Source organism: Homo sapiens, chromosome 8 (genome assembly GCF_000001405.40).
Source record: "Homo sapiens chromosome 8, GRCh38.p14 Primary Assembly".
In the NCBI taxonomy this organism is placed as follows: domain Eukaryota; kingdom Metazoa; phylum Chordata; class Mammalia; order Primates; family Hominidae; genus Homo; species Homo sapiens.
Genome location: NC_000008.11, coordinates 122,549,719 through 122,569,245, shown reverse-complemented (window position 1 = coordinate 122,569,245; position 19,527 = coordinate 122,549,719). Strand labels below are relative to the sequence as shown.

At 42.5% G+C, this 19,527-nt stretch overlaps 1 long non-coding RNA gene across 1 annotated transcript in view; it reads left to right on the top strand.

The window, feature by feature from the left end:
• Positions 1 to 601: 601 nt before the first annotated feature.
• The window catches only part of SMILR (smooth muscle induced lncRNA, enhancer of proliferation), a 154,318-nt gene continuing 135,392 nt past the window's right edge, over positions 602 to 19,527 (top strand). The window contains exons 1-2 of the long non-coding RNA NR_131202.1: positions 602 to 651; positions 1,557 to 1,669. This is a non-coding gene — a long non-coding RNA (smooth muscle induced lncRNA, enhancer of proliferation). The remainder of the gene's footprint in view (positions 652 to 1,556; positions 1,670 to 19,527) is intronic.

Here is a 19,527-nt window from a genome sequence, read left to right as displayed (position 1 = left end):
ATTACTCATGCCTGGAAACCCTTTGTACAAAACACTCCAATGACAGTTACATACATCTCCCTCTGCATGCAGGTTTTGTTCCCCTATGAAATCCTGGGCCACCCCAAAGGAATTTTCTCAGGGCCAGGCACTGTGCTAGTCCCTGAGTACAAACATTTAACAAGTTGCTGTCCTATCTGCTAGGCATGCACCGTGTGGCTTACTTAATCTAGTATACAGTAGGAGCTCATTAAACACATGAAGGAGGTCATGAGGCCTAATGGAATGAAATTTGGAGTCTGGCACACTGGGAAGGGTTAAATCTAAACTCTGATCTTACTAGCTGTGTGACCCATTCAAATGACTCATCATCACAGACTCACCTTTACAGTGGGTGTGATATGAAGTCTGTCCAGGGGAGTTGACTGAATACTTAGCCACTGCATAAAAAATGTTAGTTCTTTTCCACCACTGTTTACTCATTCGTTTTACAACTGCTCAACTTTGTTCTGGTCCAGCAGGACTCTCTTGTACAAGCCCCAACAGCTCCATGCCCATCCCTGCCCAGGGTCCAGCCTTGTCTTAGTAAACATTCATCTCCCTGACTCAGGCTGCTGCTTAGAAATTCTGTTTCGGTTGCAGTTCCATTGTGTGGAGCCAGTACTACAACTTGTAAGTAGAATTCCAGGAAAGGCAAAGCCCTCGAGATATCTCTACTTGGCTGAATCTGTGCTCTGTAACCCTTCTCTTCTCTGCATCCAAAGCACATTCTAATTCTGCTGAGGAGATTCCTTCCGGGTTGTTTCCATGCTGCTGGGGGTACCAAGAGCAGCCCCAATTCTTAATGTATAGTACAGATGACATGTGTTTTGACTTACAGCATGTATTGTCTGCTTTGCCGAGTCAAAAAATATGTAAAAGTTTTTGGTTAAGCTATTCACGACATTGCATTTGGAGGGCATGGAGCTCAGTGTGAGATGACCAAAAGACACAGTGTGGTGACAAGCCGGAGGTCATGATGCTTTTTATTTCTGATTGTGGTGTGGATGGGTATGGGGTGGCTCCACCCAAGTCACTTACTCTCTCTGGGCCTTCAGATGCAGCTTAGTATAGAGGGTGGAATTAGGCTAACCAGTATCTGCTGTGTGGCTTTGGACACGTTAATTAGTCTCTTTGAGTCTCAGTTGTGAAATGGAGATAGCAACAACGTATAACAACAGAACCCTTGTGGGAATTAATAAAGATAAGATTCAGAATTCTTAACACAGCATAGCAGACACTGTGGGTGTCCCTCCACCCCTCATCCCATTGTCCGTACACTGACAGTTATCTGTGTATTTCTCCTGTGGCGGGAAGGGGGGGCCTTGCCTTGGGAGGGTGCTCAGTGTATGTGTATGGCAGGCTGCAAAGCTGGGTGATACGGTTTGGCTGTGTCCCCACCCAAAATCCCCATAATCCCCAGGCATCAAGGGAGAGACCAGGTGGAGGTAATTGAATCATGGGGACCAGTTTCCCCCATGCTGTTCTCGTGATACTGAGTGAATTCTCATTGCAGCTGATGGTTTTTTGTTTGGTAGTTCCTCCTGCATTCATTTCTCTTCCTGCTGCCTTGTGAAGAAGGTGCCTTGCTTCCCCTTCACCTTCTACGGTGATTGCAAGTTGCCTGAGGATTCCCCAGCCATGTGAAACTGTGAGTCAATTAAACTTCTTTTCTTTATAATTACCTAGTCTTGGGCAGTTCTTCACTTCAGTATGAGAGCAGACTAATAACTGGAAGTGCCAAGGATTTAATGTACCATGAGTTACCCCAACTAACATGGGGAGGGAGTTGGGGCAGCCTCCTCCCTGCTCAGTGGGGAACCCTGAGATGTGCTCCATGCAGTATCTCAGAGACACGCAGTGGGAATGAGCTCCAGTTGCCCACAGTGGTAGCTCCTCATCGATGTGCTCTTATTGGTTTGCCTCTATTCCCTGTCTTACTCTCCCTTAAAATGCTCCCTGTGATCACATCCCAAATAAACTCTGTAACCAAATCCTTATCTCAGGCTATGCTTTTGGGAGGCCTCTGACTCATGCCTGCTGTTGGTAGTGAAATGTGAAAGCACCTTGAAAATGATAACACACTCTCCACACACATTCATTCCATCTCTACAGACCTGTATGCTACTGTTATTATTCAGCCAGCATCACCTACAGATAAATTTCTAAGTACCCTGCAACCAACTGGTTACAGCTGGTGATATAATTGTAGCATGGGTCTCTTTTTGAGGCCTGAATTGGGCATGCATGGGCATTGCAGGTGTGGAGGTTTTGGCTGAGTTCTAAGTGTGGTTTAGATACATTATTATTTAGATATTTTTGATCAAAAATCCTTTTATGATGGTGTATACATAAATTTGGTTTTGTTATGTGTGTGTATTGGGGGGTAATTGGTCACAAATTATTTTAAGAGACTGGGAAAGATGAGAGTGGGAACAGCGTTATCCATGTGGAAGATGGCTGATTAAAGATGCCGTAAATGGTTGGGCACGGTGGCTCACGCCTGTAATCCCAGCACTTTGGGAGGCCAAGGTGGGCAGATCACAAGGTCAAGAGATCGAGACCATCCTGGCCAACATGGTGAAACCCCATCTCTACTAAAAATACAAAAATTAACTGAGTGTGGTGGTGCATGCCTGTAGTCCCAGCTACTTGGGAGGCTGAGGCAGGACAATTGCTTGAACCCGGGAGGCGGAGGTTGCAGTGCGCCAAGATGGCGCCACTGCACTCCAGCCTGGTAACAGAGCAAGACTCTGTCTCAAAAAAAAAAAAAAAAAAAAAAGCCACAATTTTCTCTCCCATTGAGAGGTGAGGTCTAATTGCCCTCCCCTTGGGTTTGTGCTGGTGTTGCTTACTTGCATTCAGTAGGATGTGCAGAGTGGTCCTGTGTGACTTCAGAGGCTTGGCTAGGAGGAAGCCTGCAGCTTCCTAACAAGTCTATTGGAACCCTTGCTCTTGGACACGCTTCTTGGACTTCCTCTCTCAGAATCCAGCTTCCATGCTGAGAGAACCCCAGTCCCCATGGAGAGGCCATGTGGGGATGCTCTGAGTGACAGTCCTGGCTGAGCTCTCAGCCTACTGCCAGCATCAACTGCCAGCCTTATGAGTGAGTTATTTTGGACATCAGCCCTATTGAGCCTTCAGACAACTTCAGCCCCAGTCAAAATCCAGCTGCAATATAGGAGAGATCCCCAGCCAGAACCCCAAGCTAAGCTCTTCCTGAATTGTGGACTCACAAAATCATGAACGTGATAATAGCATTGCTTTGAGTCTCTAGTTTTGGGGTAACTTGTTCTGCACTGGTAGCTAACTAGAAGAGGAAGGAAGAGATGTGTAGAGCAGAGTTGGAGTCATACCATAGAAACATATAATTTATTTAAAGTATGCACATTTGGTTGTGTATGTGTTTGCGGGGTGCAGAGAGAGAGAGAGAGAGAGAGAGAGAGCACTTGACTGAGCAACTTAAGTTGTGTGGACAGTTCCACTCCTCATTCTATTAGTGGAAATTTTCCCAGAGTGAAGGTCACATGGATGATGTGAATCTTCTTTTTGGTGAGTTGGTCTCAGTTATTACATGTCTCCCCCCTTGCCACACTGGACATGATTCTGGCACTCAAAATTAAATATTTTCACATGTAGTGCCCCCTAAAAGCAGGCTGGCTTTTTTATCTGGTCCTTGACCATGGAAGTTCTTTTTTATTATTATTATTATACTTCAAGTTCTAGGGTACATGTGCACAACGTGCAGGTTTGATACACAGTTATACATGTGTCATGTTGGTTTGCTGCACCCATTAACTCGTCATTTACATTAGGTATTTCTCCTAATGCTATCCCTCCGCCAGCCCCCCAGCCCCCAACAGGCCCCGGTGTGTGATGTTCCCCACCCTGTGTCCAAGTGATTTCGTTGTTCAATTCCCATCTATGAGTGAGAACATGTGGTGTTTGATTTTCTGTCCTTGTGATAGTTTGCTGAGAATGATGGCTTCCAGCTTCATCCATGTCCCTACAAAGGACATGAACTCATCCTTTTTTATGGCTGTATAGTATTCCAGACCATGGAAGTTTTAATCTGCTATTAAATGAAAAAAAATATGATGGTGTTGGGCTTTTTGGGAGATGGTTTGCTAATCTTTAGTATGCTGCTTTCCAAAGAGAAGTTCAATATGAAATATTAGGCTTATGATCTGAATTCAGAATGCAGCCCTAGGATAAAATGGGCAGAATGGATTATATTTCTTTGTATTCACCAAAGTACCTAAATAATGTCTTTATAGAGTAGATGTTTGATAAATATTGGTTGGTAACATTTGTTAGGTCCTAGAAAGAGCCCTTTAAGCAGATTCACAGTGACAGTGTTGATTGATTGCCACAATCCACCATTGTTAATTTGCAATAGGGACTTTGAAGGCTTCTCCATTTGAATACCTTTCATTTGAACTGGAATTTTTCTGTATTAGATAAAACTTTGACCACTGCCAAGAACGTCTGCCAAAGATGGGGTAGTAGTATGAAGGGGTAGAATTGTGTAGAAACCAACTGCAATACTTACTGGAATCTTCTAAGAAAGGATATAGGATGCAGACATCACCTTTACTGTTATGGAGTTAACAGGTTAGTTAAGAAGGCAGATGGAGAACAGTATTGACAAACGTGATGAGTCTTATCCAAAGTGTTGCTATGGGAGCATTGAGGAACAGATTTAACTTTATCTAGGAGGTAAAGGAAAGTTGCTCTAAAAAATGACTCTGAAGGGTGAGAAGATGTTAGCTAGGTGAGGAGAAACAGGGAAATGTTATTTTAGGCAGAAAAACGCACATGTGTAGTCTATAGCAAGGGATGGCAAACATTTTCTGCCTAAGGTCAGGCAGGTAATATTTTAGCCTTTGTGGGTCCTGTGGTCTGTCATAACTACTCTGCTATTGTAGCATGAAAACAGCTTGAGGCAACATGAAAATGAATGGGTATGGCTGTGTTTCAATGAAACTTTATTTGCAAAAACAAGTGGTGGGCCAGATTTGGCTCAAGAGTCATAGTTAATCAACTCCTGCTATAACCCCGTGAAGCAAGTAACATCACTTCCATTTTATAGATGAGGAAATGGAGGCCTAATAGCACAGCACCGGTAAGCAGCAGAGCTGAAATTGGAATTATAATGAAAGTCCAGTTCATTATAATTCCAAACCTGTGCTCTTTCATCATAGTATGCACCTCCTTTCTAAAATATCTTTTCAAAGTTTCTATCAGAACAGCAGAGCCATATAACTGTCAATCACAAAAATGCCCAGTACATTTTACTACCCTGCCAACAACAGTGGCTGGAAGGAATGGCTAAATGGTGGGTGTTAAGTACTCCTCAGGCTCTATACAGACTATTCCATGTGTATTTATCTTGCAATATGTATTATTTTCATTCTTTGGTAATGTTTTATCTCTTTTGTGATTTGCTATGCTATCGATGAATCACACAATCCAGCCATCATTTCAAGAGTTCCGAGAATCAAGTGTTTCCTCTGGCACAGCACTTCATCTGTTATTAATACTAATATGAAAACGCTTTAGGAAGTTTTAATGTTTGCAGACATCTTGTTTCTTTGTTGGATGTCTGGGAAAGATCAGAATGTGCAGTGCTAGCATTATTGGAGTCCTTTGTTCTACATTAATAGTCTACTTTGACGTTCTCTAAGGTAGGCATGTTATGTCGTATGGCCCAGGTTACTTGGTTTATAGCATTTTAAAATGGATTTGTATTTATCTTTAGACAGTTCTTCTAAGGATTCCCTGGCCATTTGGATATTAAGTGATAAATATTTCAACATGCATCTTGGGGTTGAGCAAATGGGTAGTGTCTAGATTGCAGTCGACATGCATCTTGGGGTTGAGCGAATGGGTAGTGTCTAGATTGCAGTCGACATGCATCTTGGGGTTGAGCGAATGGGTAGTGTCTAGATAGCAGTCAACATGCGTCTTGGGGTTGAGCGAATGGGTAGTGTCTAGACGGCCGTCATTGCGGCAGTGCTTGGGCTTCCTGCTAGTTGGAGCGTGGAACGAGTAACCACAATTACCACTTCAGCTTCAAAATCCTGGGGCCAGGATGGTGGTGCATTCAACCTCAGAATATCTGTCAACTCTGTGCAGTTTTGCGGTGATCTAGGCACTTTCTTCTCTGTCTCTCTGAGCTCATTTTTTCATTCACCAAGTATTTGTTAAGTCTGTATACATCTGGCATTGTGCGAGATATTGGGCAAGAACAGACAGCTGCTTGTTCTTATGGAGCTTACGTTATAGTAGAGGAAACAGATATCAGAGAATTACATTGATGAATGCATATTTGTAAACTCAGTTTTTCATATTTGTAAACTGAGTATTTCAGTTTTTCTGAAATAAAGAAATACAGTACTGGAAAGCAGCCTGTCTCAGACTGGGTGGTCAGGGAAGATTCCCTGAGAGAATGCTTAGGCTGGAATTGAAGAGATAAATAAGGGGTAAAAACTAGCTGAAGGTGCTACCTTCCAGATATTCCAGAAAGAGGGACGAGCATGAGCAAAGATGGCAACAAATTGAAAGAAGGCCAGTGGGCTCCAAGCATGCCTCCCTCCTCCCAGAGTGAGTTACCCTTCTCTAAGAATCACTGGAAATCCTGTCTCTGTTCCTGCTATTGGATGCCTGGCGAGGATCCTGTAAAACTAGGTGAGGATTTTCTTTCCCAGTTCATCCACTCAGCACTTGTTCACACTCCCAGACTAGATGATAATACCCATGAGAAGACTGTGTGAAACACTCTTCACCTGGCAGGGGCCTGGGACTTAGAGCTTCAGCTGATGAAGAATTTCCTAGGATCTTGGGTTGGACTGCAGGATGTGGTGCCCTCAGCTAATTTTGAGGTGGCCTCCGACAGACTGTTCAAATGAATCTTCAGTTCAGAGGGGCTGGGAAGAAACTGAGGAACATGGACATACCTCACTTTATTGTGCTCCACTTGTGGCACCTCACAGATAATTGCGTTTTTAAAAATAAGTTGGAAGTTTGTGGCAACCCTATGTCCAGCAAGTCTATTGGCACTATTCTTCTGCCAGCATGTGCCATGTGCTGACTTCATGTCTCTGTCACATTTTGGTAATTCTTGAAATATTTCTAACTTTCTCATTATTATTATATCTATGATCAGGGATCTTTGATGTTACTATTATAATTGTTTGGGGGCACCACGAACAGTGCCTATTTAAGATGACAAGCTTAATACATAAATGTGTGTGTTCTGACTGCTCCACTGACTGGCTTTTCCCCTTTCTCTCTTCCTCTCTTCAGGCATCTCTATTTCCTGAGACCCAGGGATATTTAAATTAGGCCAATTAATAATTTTACAGTGGCCTCTAAATGTTCAGTGGACAGGAGAGTGACACATCTCTCACTTTAAATCACAAGCTAGAAATGACTAAACTTAGTAAGGAAGGCATGTCGAAAGCCAAGATAGGCAGAAAAGAATGCCTCTTGTGCCAAACAGGCTAGTTGTGAGTGCAAAGAAAAAATTCTTGAAGAAATTAAAAGTGCTACTCCAGAGAACACAAAAATGGCAAGAAAGCAAAACAGCCTAATTGCTGATATGGAGAAAGTTTTAGTGATCTACGCAGAAGATCAAACCAGCCACATCCTTCCCTTATGCCAAAGCCTAATCCAGAGCAAGGCCCTAACTCTCTTCAAATCTATGAAGGCTGAGAGAGGTGAAGAAGCTGCAGAAGACAAATGTGAAGCTAGCAGATATTTATTTATAAAGTTTAAGGAAAGAAACTGACTCTATAACACAGTGCAAGGTGAAGCAGCAAGTACAGCAAGAAGCTGCAGCAAGTTATCCGCAAGACCCTGCTAAGATCATTGATGAAGGTGGCTACACTAAGAAACAGGTTTTCAATGTAGACAGAACAGTCTTATGTTGGAGGAAGATGTCATCTAGGACTTTCAGAGCTAGAGAAGAGAAGTCAATTCCTGGCTTCAAAGCTTCAAAGACAGGCTGATTCTCTTGTCAGGGGCTAAGGCATCTAGTGACTTTAAGTTAAAACCAATACTCATTTACCATTCCAAAAATTCCAGGGCCCTTAAGAATTAGTCTAAATCTACTCTGCCTGTCCTTTATAAATGGAACAACAAAGCCTGGATAAAAACACATCTGTTTACATCATAGTTTGATGTATATTTTAAACCTGCTGTTGAGACCCATTGCATAGAAAAAAAAAAAGTGATTCCTGGCTGGGTATGGGGGCTCACGCCTGTAATCCCAGCATTTTGGGAGGCTGAGGTGGGCAGATCACTTGAGGTCAGGAGTTCAAGACCAGCCTAGCCAATATGGCAAAATTCCATCTCTACTAAAAATACAAAAATTAGCTGGGTAATTCTAGCTACTTGGGAGGCTGAGGCATGAGAATCGCTTGAACTCAGGAGGTAAAGGTTGCAGTGAGCTGAGATCATGCCACTGCACTCCAGCCTGGGTAATGGAGTGAGACTCTGTCTCAAAAAGAAAAAAGAAAAAATATTCCTTTCAAAATATTACTCCTTGACAATGCACCTGGTCATCCAAGAGCTCTGATGAAGATATATGTAAAGATTAATGTTGTTTTCATGCTCTCCAGCAAAACATTGATTCTGCAGCCCACAGATTAAGGAGTAATTGACTTTCAAGTCTTACTATTTAAGAAATGCATTTCATAAGGCTATAGTTGCCATAGATAGTGAATCCTCTTTTGGATCTGGGCAAAGTCCATTAAGAATCTTCTGAAAAGAATTCACCAGTCTAGATGCTGCTAAGAACATTCATGATTCATGGGAGGTGATCAAAAATATCAATGTTAGTGAGTTTGGAAGAAGTTGATTCCAACTCTCATGGATGACTTTGAGGGGCTGAAAACTTTACTGGAGAAAGTAACTGCAGACGTGGTAGAATTATTGAGAGAACTAGAATTAGAAGTGGAGCCTGAAGAAGTGACGGTTTGCTACAACCTTATGATAAAACTTGCACGAATGAGGAGTTAGTTCTTATGGATGAGCAAAGAAAGTGGTTTCCTGAGATAGAAACTACTCTTGGTGAAGATGATGTAAACATTGTTGAAATGACAACAAAGGATTTAGAATATTCCATAAACTTTATTGATAAGACAGTGGCAGAGTTTGAGAGGATTGACTCCAATTTTGAAAGATCTAATGTGGGTAAAATATTATCAAACAGCATTGCATGCTACAGAGAAATTTTTCATGAAAGGAAGAGTCAATCAATGTGGCAAACTTCATCGTTGTCTTATTGAAATTGCCACAACTACCCCAGCCTTCAGCAACCAGCACCCTGATCAGTCAGGAGCCATCAGCATTGAGGCAATAACCAACAGAAAGATTATGACTCACTGAAGGCTCAGATGATCATTAGCATTTTTTAAGCAATAAAGTATTTTACAATTAAGATCTGTATTTTTTTTTTGACATAATTCTATTGAATACTTAATAGAATTCTTAGGGGTACAAGTGGTTTCTGGTTACATGGATAAATTCTATAGTGGTGAAGTCTGGGCTTTCATTTTACCCATCATCTGAATAGTCCACATGGTATCCAATGGATAATTTTTCATCCCTCACCCCCTCCCTCCTTCCTTTCTTCTGCATCTCCAGTGTCCACTATACCACTGTATGCCTTTTTGTGCCCATAGCCAGCTCTCGCTTATGAGACCATGTGATATTTGGTTTTCTATTCTTGAGTTACTTCACTTAGAATAATGGTCTCCAATTCCATCCAAGTTGCTGCAAAAGACATTATTTCATTCCTTTTTATGGCTGAGTAGTAGTCTATGGTATATTTAAACCAAATTTTCTTAATTTTTCAATTTTTATTTTTAGATCCAGGGGGTACATGTGCGGGTTTGTTACTTGGGTGTGTGTGTGTGTGTGTATGTATGCATATATATATTTCCCCCCTTATCTTAACTATGAATACCTGAGTATATTACATGATGCTGAGGTTTGGGGTATAAATGATCCTGCCACCCAGGTAGTGAACATCGTGCCCAACAGTTTTTTGACCCTTATTTCCCTCCCTGTCTCCTTCCCCCCAAGTAGTCTCCAGTGTCTCTTGTTGCCATCTTTATGTCCATGAATATACAATATTTAGGTTCTATTTATAAGTGAGGTGAGGCAGTATTTGGTTCTCTATTCCTGTGTTAATTCACTCAAAACAATGGGATCCAGTTGGATCCATGTTGCTGTAAAGGATATGATTTCATTTTATTTTTTTCTTTTTGAGACAGGGTCTCATTCTGTCACCCAGGCTAGGGTGCAGTGGTGCAATCTCAGCTCACAGCAACCTCCACCTCCCAGGCTTAACCAATCCTCCCAAGTAGCTAGGACTACAGGTGTGTGCCACCATGCCCAGCTAATTTTCATGTTATTATTTTTTTGGTAGAGATGGGGTTTTGCCATGTTACCCAGGCTGGTCTCAAACTCCTGGGCTCAAGCAATCTGCCCACTTCAGATTTTATTCGTTTTTATGGCTTTGTGGTATTCCACGGTGAATATGTACCATATTTTCTTTATCTAACCTACTGTTGATGGGCACCTAGGTTGAATCCGTGTCTTTGCTATTGTGAACAGTGCAGCAATGAACATGTGAGTGCATGTATCTTTTGGTAGAATGATTTGTTTTCTCTTGGGTACTTACCCAGTAATGGGATTGCTGGGTTGAATGGTAGTTTTTAAACATGGTACGTGTCCACCAAATTTTCTTAATTAACTTTTACATGCATTGGAAAACAAAAAAGTTCATGTGACTCGCTTTATTGTGATATCTACTTTATTGCAGTGGTCTGGAACCAAATCTGCAATATCTCAGAGATATGGGGTCCCCAACCTCCAGGCCTTGGACCAGTACTGGTCCATGGCCTGTTAGGAATCGGACTGCACAGCAGGAGGTGAGTCGTGGGTGAGCATTACTGCCTAAGTTCTGCCTCCTGTCAGATCAGCGGTGCCATTATATTCTCGCAGGGGTGCGAACCCTATTGTGAACTGTGCATGTGAGGGATTTAGGTTGCGTGCTCCTTACAAGAATCTAATACCTGATGATCTGAGATGGAACAGTTTCATCCTGAACCACTGCCCCCACAAAGTCCGCAGAAAAATTTTCTTCCACAAAACTGGTCCCTGGTGCCAAAAACGTTGGGGACTGCTGCCTTAGTACACAGTTTTAAGGCAAAGGATGGGAGATCAGGACTGGCAAAAAAAAAAAAAAAAAGCCAGAGAGGTGGATGTGTGTATATTTTAGAGGGTGTCTTTGGCCCCTGGTAGGGGTTGGAAGAGGCAGGGAGATGCAAAAATCAAGTGTGAAGGCTTAGCTTGAATTGTAATTGGATTCTTCTTGGAAGAAAACATGACTTCAGTAATCAGGCAGGGCACGGTGGCTCACGCCTGTAACCCCAGCACTTTGGGAGGCCGAGGCAGGTGGATCACGAGGTCAGGAGATCGAGACCATCCTGGCTAACATGGTGAAACCCCATCTCTACTAAAAATACAAAAAATTAGCCAGGCGTGGTGGCGGGCACCTGTAGTCCCAGCTACTCAGGAGGCTGAGGCAGGAGAATGGCGTGAACCTGGGAGGCAGAGCTTGCAGTGAGCTGAGATCGCGCCACTGCACTCCAGCCTGGGCAACAGAGCGAGATTCCATCTCAAAACAAACAAACAAAACAAAAACAAGAAAAAAACCATGATTTCAGTAATCAAACTCTTCTTTTTATTTCTTGGCTCTAGGCAGCAAAGCTTATCAGTAAACCATTTCTACTAAGGGTTCCAGCTCCACAATTCAGTTTATAAGGCCCCACCAACAGTCCCCTTCCTGATGATAACCTGAAGATACTCTCTTGTGCTATGATTCCATAATAGGATACCTGTAGCAGCCCCTTCTTTTTCACTTATATCTCCAAGCTGTCAGTCATGTTCGAATTTGGATTCTTTCTTTTCTCTTTCTTTCCCATCTGAGTTACTGGCTTTGAAAAATTGTCTGAGTTCTGCTGCTCTCCTCTTTCAGGCGGGCTTTTCAACTCAATGATCTAAAGAATACACATAAACAAATCTTGCCCAGTTCCTGGAACATCATCTGTGTTCAGCATAAACCAGTTTGCTGTTTTCCTAGAGTTGGGTTGACTCTACTCTGATTCCCTGTGTTTAGCCTGTGCACCTGCCCACCATCATTTTTCCTATCCCGCTCATCCTTGAGTTAACTCTCTGCTAGGCTAATGGTCCACTCCATGAAGGCTACATTAACATTAAAGTAGAGATATTTATGCTGCTTGCGAGAAGAAGCTTAGCAATCATGCCTCTCAGCCTTCTTTATTTAGAGATACGGAAACTGAAGCTTAAAGAGGATAAGGGATTTGTCCAAGGTTTCACAGTTGGTGAGAGGCAGAGCTAAGCTGAACATTTCTACCTCTTGTGTGCTTCCCTTTCATAGGTGACTTTGTCATATCAGTTTTATTGATTGTATTTTGCCTCGGTGGGTCAAGATGGGTTTTCTCTCTCTACTGCTATCCCAGTTGCACATGGGAGCTGATTTTATTGCCCATCCTCTCTCTTCTCTCATTTATTTCCCCTTCCTTCTTCTTTGTCCCCTTATCCTCCTCCTTTTCTTTTGTACAAGCTTTTATTGCACGTGAATTTACAAGAAACCATGCTTGCCACTGTGGAGATGGATAAGAACAAAATAAGATCTCTGCTTTCAAGGGGCCTGAAGACCATCTGAGGAAAATAGCAAAAACAACAACATTAAAAAAAACCCAAAAGGGTAATAGCTGCTAATATTATTGAACACTTTGTGGGTCAGTAGTTACTGTGTTAAGGGCTTAGGTACATGAACTCACTTAAACTGGACCACGATCCTGTAAGCATTATTTCCCTATTTTACAGATGAGGAATTTGAGACAAAGAGTTCCCTCTCCTTGTTTCTCAAGGTCAAGGTCACACAGAAGGGAAGTGGGGGCACACAGATCTGTACATGAGGCTGAGGGAAGGAAGGGTAGAGTCTACATCCCGAGGTCACTTTGGCACATTGACAGTGGACTCCCCCATCTCCAAGCAGTTGCAACCTTGGATTAAAAATAATAAAATAGAAAACGAAGAAAAATGAAACTCTAGAGCGACTCAGTAGGGCTTGAGAAGAGCCCTGCTCTGCAGTAGCCTTTTGGAGAGACCTTAAAGTGATTTTCTGCAGGGTAGGATTTGGAGATTGTAGCCATGACAATGTCTGCTTGTTGTTTTGGATGAATCTGAACAGCGTTAATCAGCCTAAGGAATCTGAACCTCTGGGTTGTTGGCAGGTCTATGTGAGGTGTACAGAGGCCTTCCCAAGGCAGGGACCACCATCTCTGTGATCTGGATCGCTCCTCAGGACAGAGTCCCTCCTGGAGCCTTGATCTCCTCCAGCAGGTCCCATGGCCATCATGCGAATATAGCCCACTGCCACTTTTCAGGATTTCTTTCAGCTTCTCGTGACCCTCTCCCAGGACACGCACGCACTATGTGACTGACCATCTGGTACAGATCTATAGACCTTCCTCTGTGGTTTTTCTCCAGCTCTTCCCCATCCAGACCATTCTGCGAAGCTTGCTTTGGAAATGGAAGACATACAGCATCTTTTTCCAATAGAATAAGGCTGTCTATACATGAGCCAAAAAATATACATCTTGGGGCTTTGTAGGATTAAATATGTTTTGGCAAATACTGTAAATACAAAGGGAGATTGGAAGAAAGGCAGCCGAACAGGCTTTTAGGTTTCACTTATGTTCCCTTCCTGCAGAATGAATGATCATTTCAAGATGCATCATTTTGTTCAGCTCATCTTTAAGGAAACAAAGGTCACTATTATTCATAAACAACCGGAATGGGAAACAACCATTACAATCAAACCACACAAACGCATATTGGGAAGAGCCTTTTCTTTCTTCCTTCCTTTTCTTTGCTTTCTGTGTTCAGAGGCCATAATGACGACTGTTCCTGGTCTTCATTCATTATATACAAATGGGTTTAGCACATTTTGGCATCTGTACCCTGTTTACAACAAAATGTTCCTGTCCTGTCCTTTAATGCTGCTGTGTGGTTTCTGTAGGGCTGCCTTCCAGTGATAAAAACAGGAGGGATAATGGGGGGGTGAGATGTGTTGGGAGTGGAGGGAGGGGGTTGTTTTCTTTTCTGGGATGGTGGGTCTCCTTGGGCAATTCATCATTCTCTCCAAGTTCACACTGCAAGGTTAAAGAAGCTGGGGCCAGGTGCGGTGGCTCACACCTGTAATCCCAGCACTTTGGGAGGCCAAGGCGGGTGGCTCACGAGGTCAGGAGATCAAGACCATCCTGCCTAACATGGTGAAACCCCATCTGTACTAAAAATACAAAAAATTAGCCGGGCATGGTGGCGGGCACCTGTAGTCCCAGCTACTTGGGAGGCTGAGGCAGGAGAATTGCTTGAACCTGGGAGGTGGAGGTTGCAGTGAGCTAAGATCGCCCCACTGCACTCCAGCCTGGCAATAGAGCGAGACTCCATCTCAAAAACAAACAAACAAAAAACAATTTTTTAATACTCCTTTTTCTACTTGTTCTGCATCTCTCTTTTCCCCTTCATCATCAAAGTTGTTAAAATAGTTCTCTAACTTGCTTTCTGTATTTTCCCAGTTCTCGGTCCTTCTGTAGCCACTCCAATCTGCCGGTACCCCTAAATGTCAACCCTCGCTGGTCTTCCCAAGGTCTGTAGCCCAGGGGTTTTCCTTTGAGTCTTAACCTTATGGGACTAATTAGCCCTATCAGATGCTGCTGCCCACACCTTCCTTTGGAAATGTTCTTTTCCTCTGCCACCTGTGTTATATGCCACCTCTGGATTCTTACCACCTTTTTGGTAAAGGCACGGTATCATTGGCGGGCCCATTTTACTCAACTTATACCTCAAAGACTGCTATGTTTTCAGGCTCTGTATTTGGCCCTCTTCTGTGTGTAGACACTCACCTTGGTTGAACTAATCTTCTCTCATGGCTGTAGTTGCCAGCTGTATGTTGACAATTCACATAACCCTGCTTTTGTTTCTCTGCTAAGATTCAAACTTATATGCCTAAGTTTTTTCCAAAATAATTGGTTGTCTCATGAGAAATTCCAATTCAAAATATCCAAAATGATACTCATCTCCCACCCATATATTCTACTATATATGCTAAAGGTTTCCCATGCTACCTTTAGCAATAAATGCCACTGCCATTTTTCAGTTTTCCCAAGCAGAAATCTGAATCAATCTTTTGCTTCCACTTTTCCACATATGTGATTCCATCAGGTCCTATTGATTTTACTTCTGATTATATCTAAAACAGGGACACTTCTCCCCATCTTTACAGCTACTATTCCGGGTGAGGCCATTATTATCTTTCTACTGCATTGGGACACTTCCTAATAGGTGTCCCCACCTCTTACATTGAAACAGTGGAGATCCTTCTAGAACAGGGGTCCCTAACCCCTGGTACCAGTCCGTGGCCTGTTAGGGACTGGGCTGCACAGCAGGAGGTGAGTGGTGTAAAAGTAAGCATTACCGTCTGAGCTCTGCCTCCTGTCAGATCAGCAGTGGCATTAGATTCTCATAAGAGCACGGGCCCTATTGTGAACTGTGCATGCCAGAGATCTAGGTTGTGCACTCCTTATGAAAATCTAATGACTGATGATCTGAGGTGGAACAGTTTCATCCCCAAACCATTCCCCCTCAACCCCTCCTTCCCCCACCCTGGTCCATAGGAAAAAATGTCTTCCACAAAACTGGTCCCTGGTGTCAAAAAGGTTGGGGACTACTGTTCTAGAATATAAATTTGATAATGTTACGTACGGTATACAGCTCAAACTTCTTTACATGACTTACAAGGCTCTTTATAACCTGGTTCCTTTTTATTTTTCCAGTTTTATTCCCAATCACTTCTGACTTTAACTCTACTACCAAATAATACCAAACATCTTTAATTCCCTTACATGGGTTTCTGACTTCACTTCCAACATTCTGAGCATGCTCATCCTGGGAATATTTTCCTTCCTCTCCTATCCACAGGAGATAGGAACAACCCCTATCCATTAGGCCTCCTATCCTATGGGACTAATTCCTAACCATTCTTCAGTGTTACACTTGGATGACTCTGCTTAACTCTGGGAAGACCAACCCGTCCTCTCCAGGGTGGGCTAAGCACCTCCCTTCTTGTCTTGTATGGTATTTTCCTGCAGCGATTGGCGCCCAATTTGTCCTCACTTGCCAGCATCCATGCCCTTAGGTAGCATTCTCTCACATTGACTCTGGACTTGGCTATTTGACTTGCTAGGGCCAATGAGAAATAGATAATGTCATGCAAGTAGAGACTTGAAAAGTGCTTGCACATTGGAGTTTGTCCTCTCTTGCTGACGGCCACACCCACTATGTGAGTAAGCCCAGACCAGATTATTGCACAATGTGAGAAATACGGCTCAGTGGCCCTTGCAATCCTAGTGGACAACTGGTAAGCCAGACATGTGAGAGCCATCTGGGACCATGTTTTTTCTGTCTGGGACATTCTTTCTCCCATATTTCTTGTAAAATGATACTCATCCCTCAGGAGTCAGCCTAAATGTCACTTTTTTGAAGAGACTTTGCCTGATGCACCATCTAAATCAGGCCCACTAGCCTAAGCTCTCATCAAACCCTTTACATTTTTTTCATAGCCATTTGCATACTGCCACTTGCATCTAATGTATTTAATTGTGTCATTATTGCTTTAACCAACAGTAAACTCCACAAAAGCAGCAAACAGATCCACATCCCAAATATCTATAGGCTCTTAGATATCTGTTGAATGAATAAATGAATGAGTAGCTAGTGTCCAGGGTGAGAGGCTTTGCGGTTGGAAGGGAGGTCAGTTGGAGAGACCATGAGCAACCTTGTGTTTTAGGCTGCAGTGCAGTTAACCTGTAGTGTATGTTTCTCATTACTCTCCTGTACATTTCTTGACTTTTATGACCATAGGTCACACCTAAGGTCACCAATTCTAGTTTTCATGATCTCCAGGACTCAGGATCTTCCCATCTACTTTAATAACCTGTGTTTCTGGCCCTTGAGTATAATTAAGAGTCACAACATTCAACCCTTTTTCATCTGAGAGATAGGAAGCCAGCCTTGTGTGGCAGTAAAGAGTGAGGGCAAAGGAATCAAAAGGCAAGAGATAGGTTCCCATCTCTGACACTGATGAGCAGTGTGAGCTTGGGTAAGTTCTCAGCACTTCTGAACCTCAGTTTCCTCACTTGTGAAATTATTGTGATGAGGATTAAATATAATAATGTAAGTAAAATGTGTAAGATAACTTAGTAATGCATGCATCGTGTCCATTATCCTTTTTCTTATGTTGCTGTTTTTAGCCTATTTCTGCTTCTTTGGTTTTTCTTGTTAATAGTAGGCACGTGATAAATATTAGGCAGTGATTGAATTGGGGAGCTGGAGGACTAATAATTTCCTGCTTACGCTCTTCTCATTAACGGAAAGTTGAGTACATGGCACAAAACCTGTGGGGAATATATCCTGGTCTTTCTTCCCCTTTGATCTCTTTCTCAGCAGGAGTCCAGTCATTGATTTCTGACATAGATTTTCTGTAATCTATACATTTGCTACGTGCTAGACCTATGACATAAACCTATATAGCCCTGTTCTTGCTTGAGCTGACAGAGCCAAGGACATTGCATCCTATCTTTACTGGCGGCAAATCTTCCACTTCCAAAAGGAAATCGGGATGATACTCAAAACAGGAATTCTTGTTGGCTAGGGTTTAGGAGTCTGAGAAGAAATGTCAAATTCAAGAAAATTACCTGGCTCTTGGCCTGATATATGTTGAAATATAAATTGGACACTCAGTCTTTTGCTTTTAAGTTTTCACCTCTCAGGGTCCTGTTTTCCTGAAACAACCACATACTTTTTCAACAAGCACTTCAGTGTCCCCTGGATCCTGGGGCTGGAGCTATGAGCCAATTTAAGGCAGAGGATGAGTCTTCAAGGTCCTGACGGTTTGCTCCCTAGTTTCCTCCCCCTATCTTTAACCTCTCAGCAGGCAGGGAGGCCTTAGACGGTGAGCAAGCTGGATGATGGAAATGTCAAGAATCTGAGAAATGTGGAGAATAACTCTACCTCTTCTCTGAATCTGAAAGTGGGTTAGAAGAAATGCCCATAGTCTCAGCACTTCCACAGATCGCTAAGGGTGGGAGCTTTGAGGCCTATAGAGACAGAGCACCTTCTCCTGGCGTAATGACTTAATGGTGGGCATCCACTATGGTACATCTTGTCTGGAAGATTCTGGTCAGAAACAGATTCTGTGCACAAAAAGCTGACTATTCTTTTCATGATCATTTCAACTTCAGTTTTCTTACCGCTTATCACACAAGTAATAGCTTGTGCAGAGTCAGTCTCTCCAGTTGATTTGAAAGCTCTTGGAGAGTGGAAACAAAGTCTGACTTGTTTATAGCTATATGCCTGGCTCTTAGCACTGGGCATGGCAGAGGGGTGGTTGTTGAATTGTTGAGCGATTGATGAATCAGCAGCCTTATCTGTGCCCATAACCATCTTTACTTTATGGGAAAAATAATGGCATAAAAATAGATACATAAAATAAAAAACCACAGATATGAATCAAATAATCACACACACATGAGTAGTGAGGTTATGAAGAGGGGAAGTAATGATGCAGGTGCTCAAAAATCAATATTAAATGCAAACTTGAAGGATGACACAAAGTATTTAATGAGGATTGTTAAATTAACCTAAGGAAGTAATGATTGAAGTGGAATCTGGGGACATGGCTAGGTGAAGGGGTGTGTGGGTGTGTGTGTGTGCACATGTATGTGTGTATTTCTCCGTGTTGACTCTCTTTTAATATTGCTTAGTGCTATGGAAATTGCACAGGTAAATAAGACTTTGGATTTCTAAATAAGAAAGACTCAGTGTATAAACAAATATTTTTAAAATGAGACAATGGAATTGACAGGCAGCATCAGGTAGTAGAATGAGACAAATTCTAGCTCTGCTTCACACAGCTGTATAATTCTGAACAGGTGCCATCACCTCTTTGAGCCTCACGTTCCTCACATGTAATTGGTAATTATATTACTTTCCTCACAGAGTTAATGGTGAGGGTTTGTGAGTTAAAATGTGCAAGGGCCTGGCACATAGCAGATTGGTAAAGAGTAAGATGTTCTCTTCCTCTTGCCCTTTTGGCTTTCTTTCACTCCTTTTAGCCTAAAGCCCAACAGAAATGCCATAAGTAGTGTTTATTTTACTGTCCCAATTATTCCACCATAGACAAATCCATCAACATTTATTTGACTTATTTCTTCAATACTTTGAAACCTGAGAATGGAATATTGTATCAGTCAGGGTTCAATCAAGAAAGAGAAACCACACACTAATGTGAATAGGAAAAGTTTAATATAAATGATTTTAATAGTAGATTGGAAGAACAGGAGA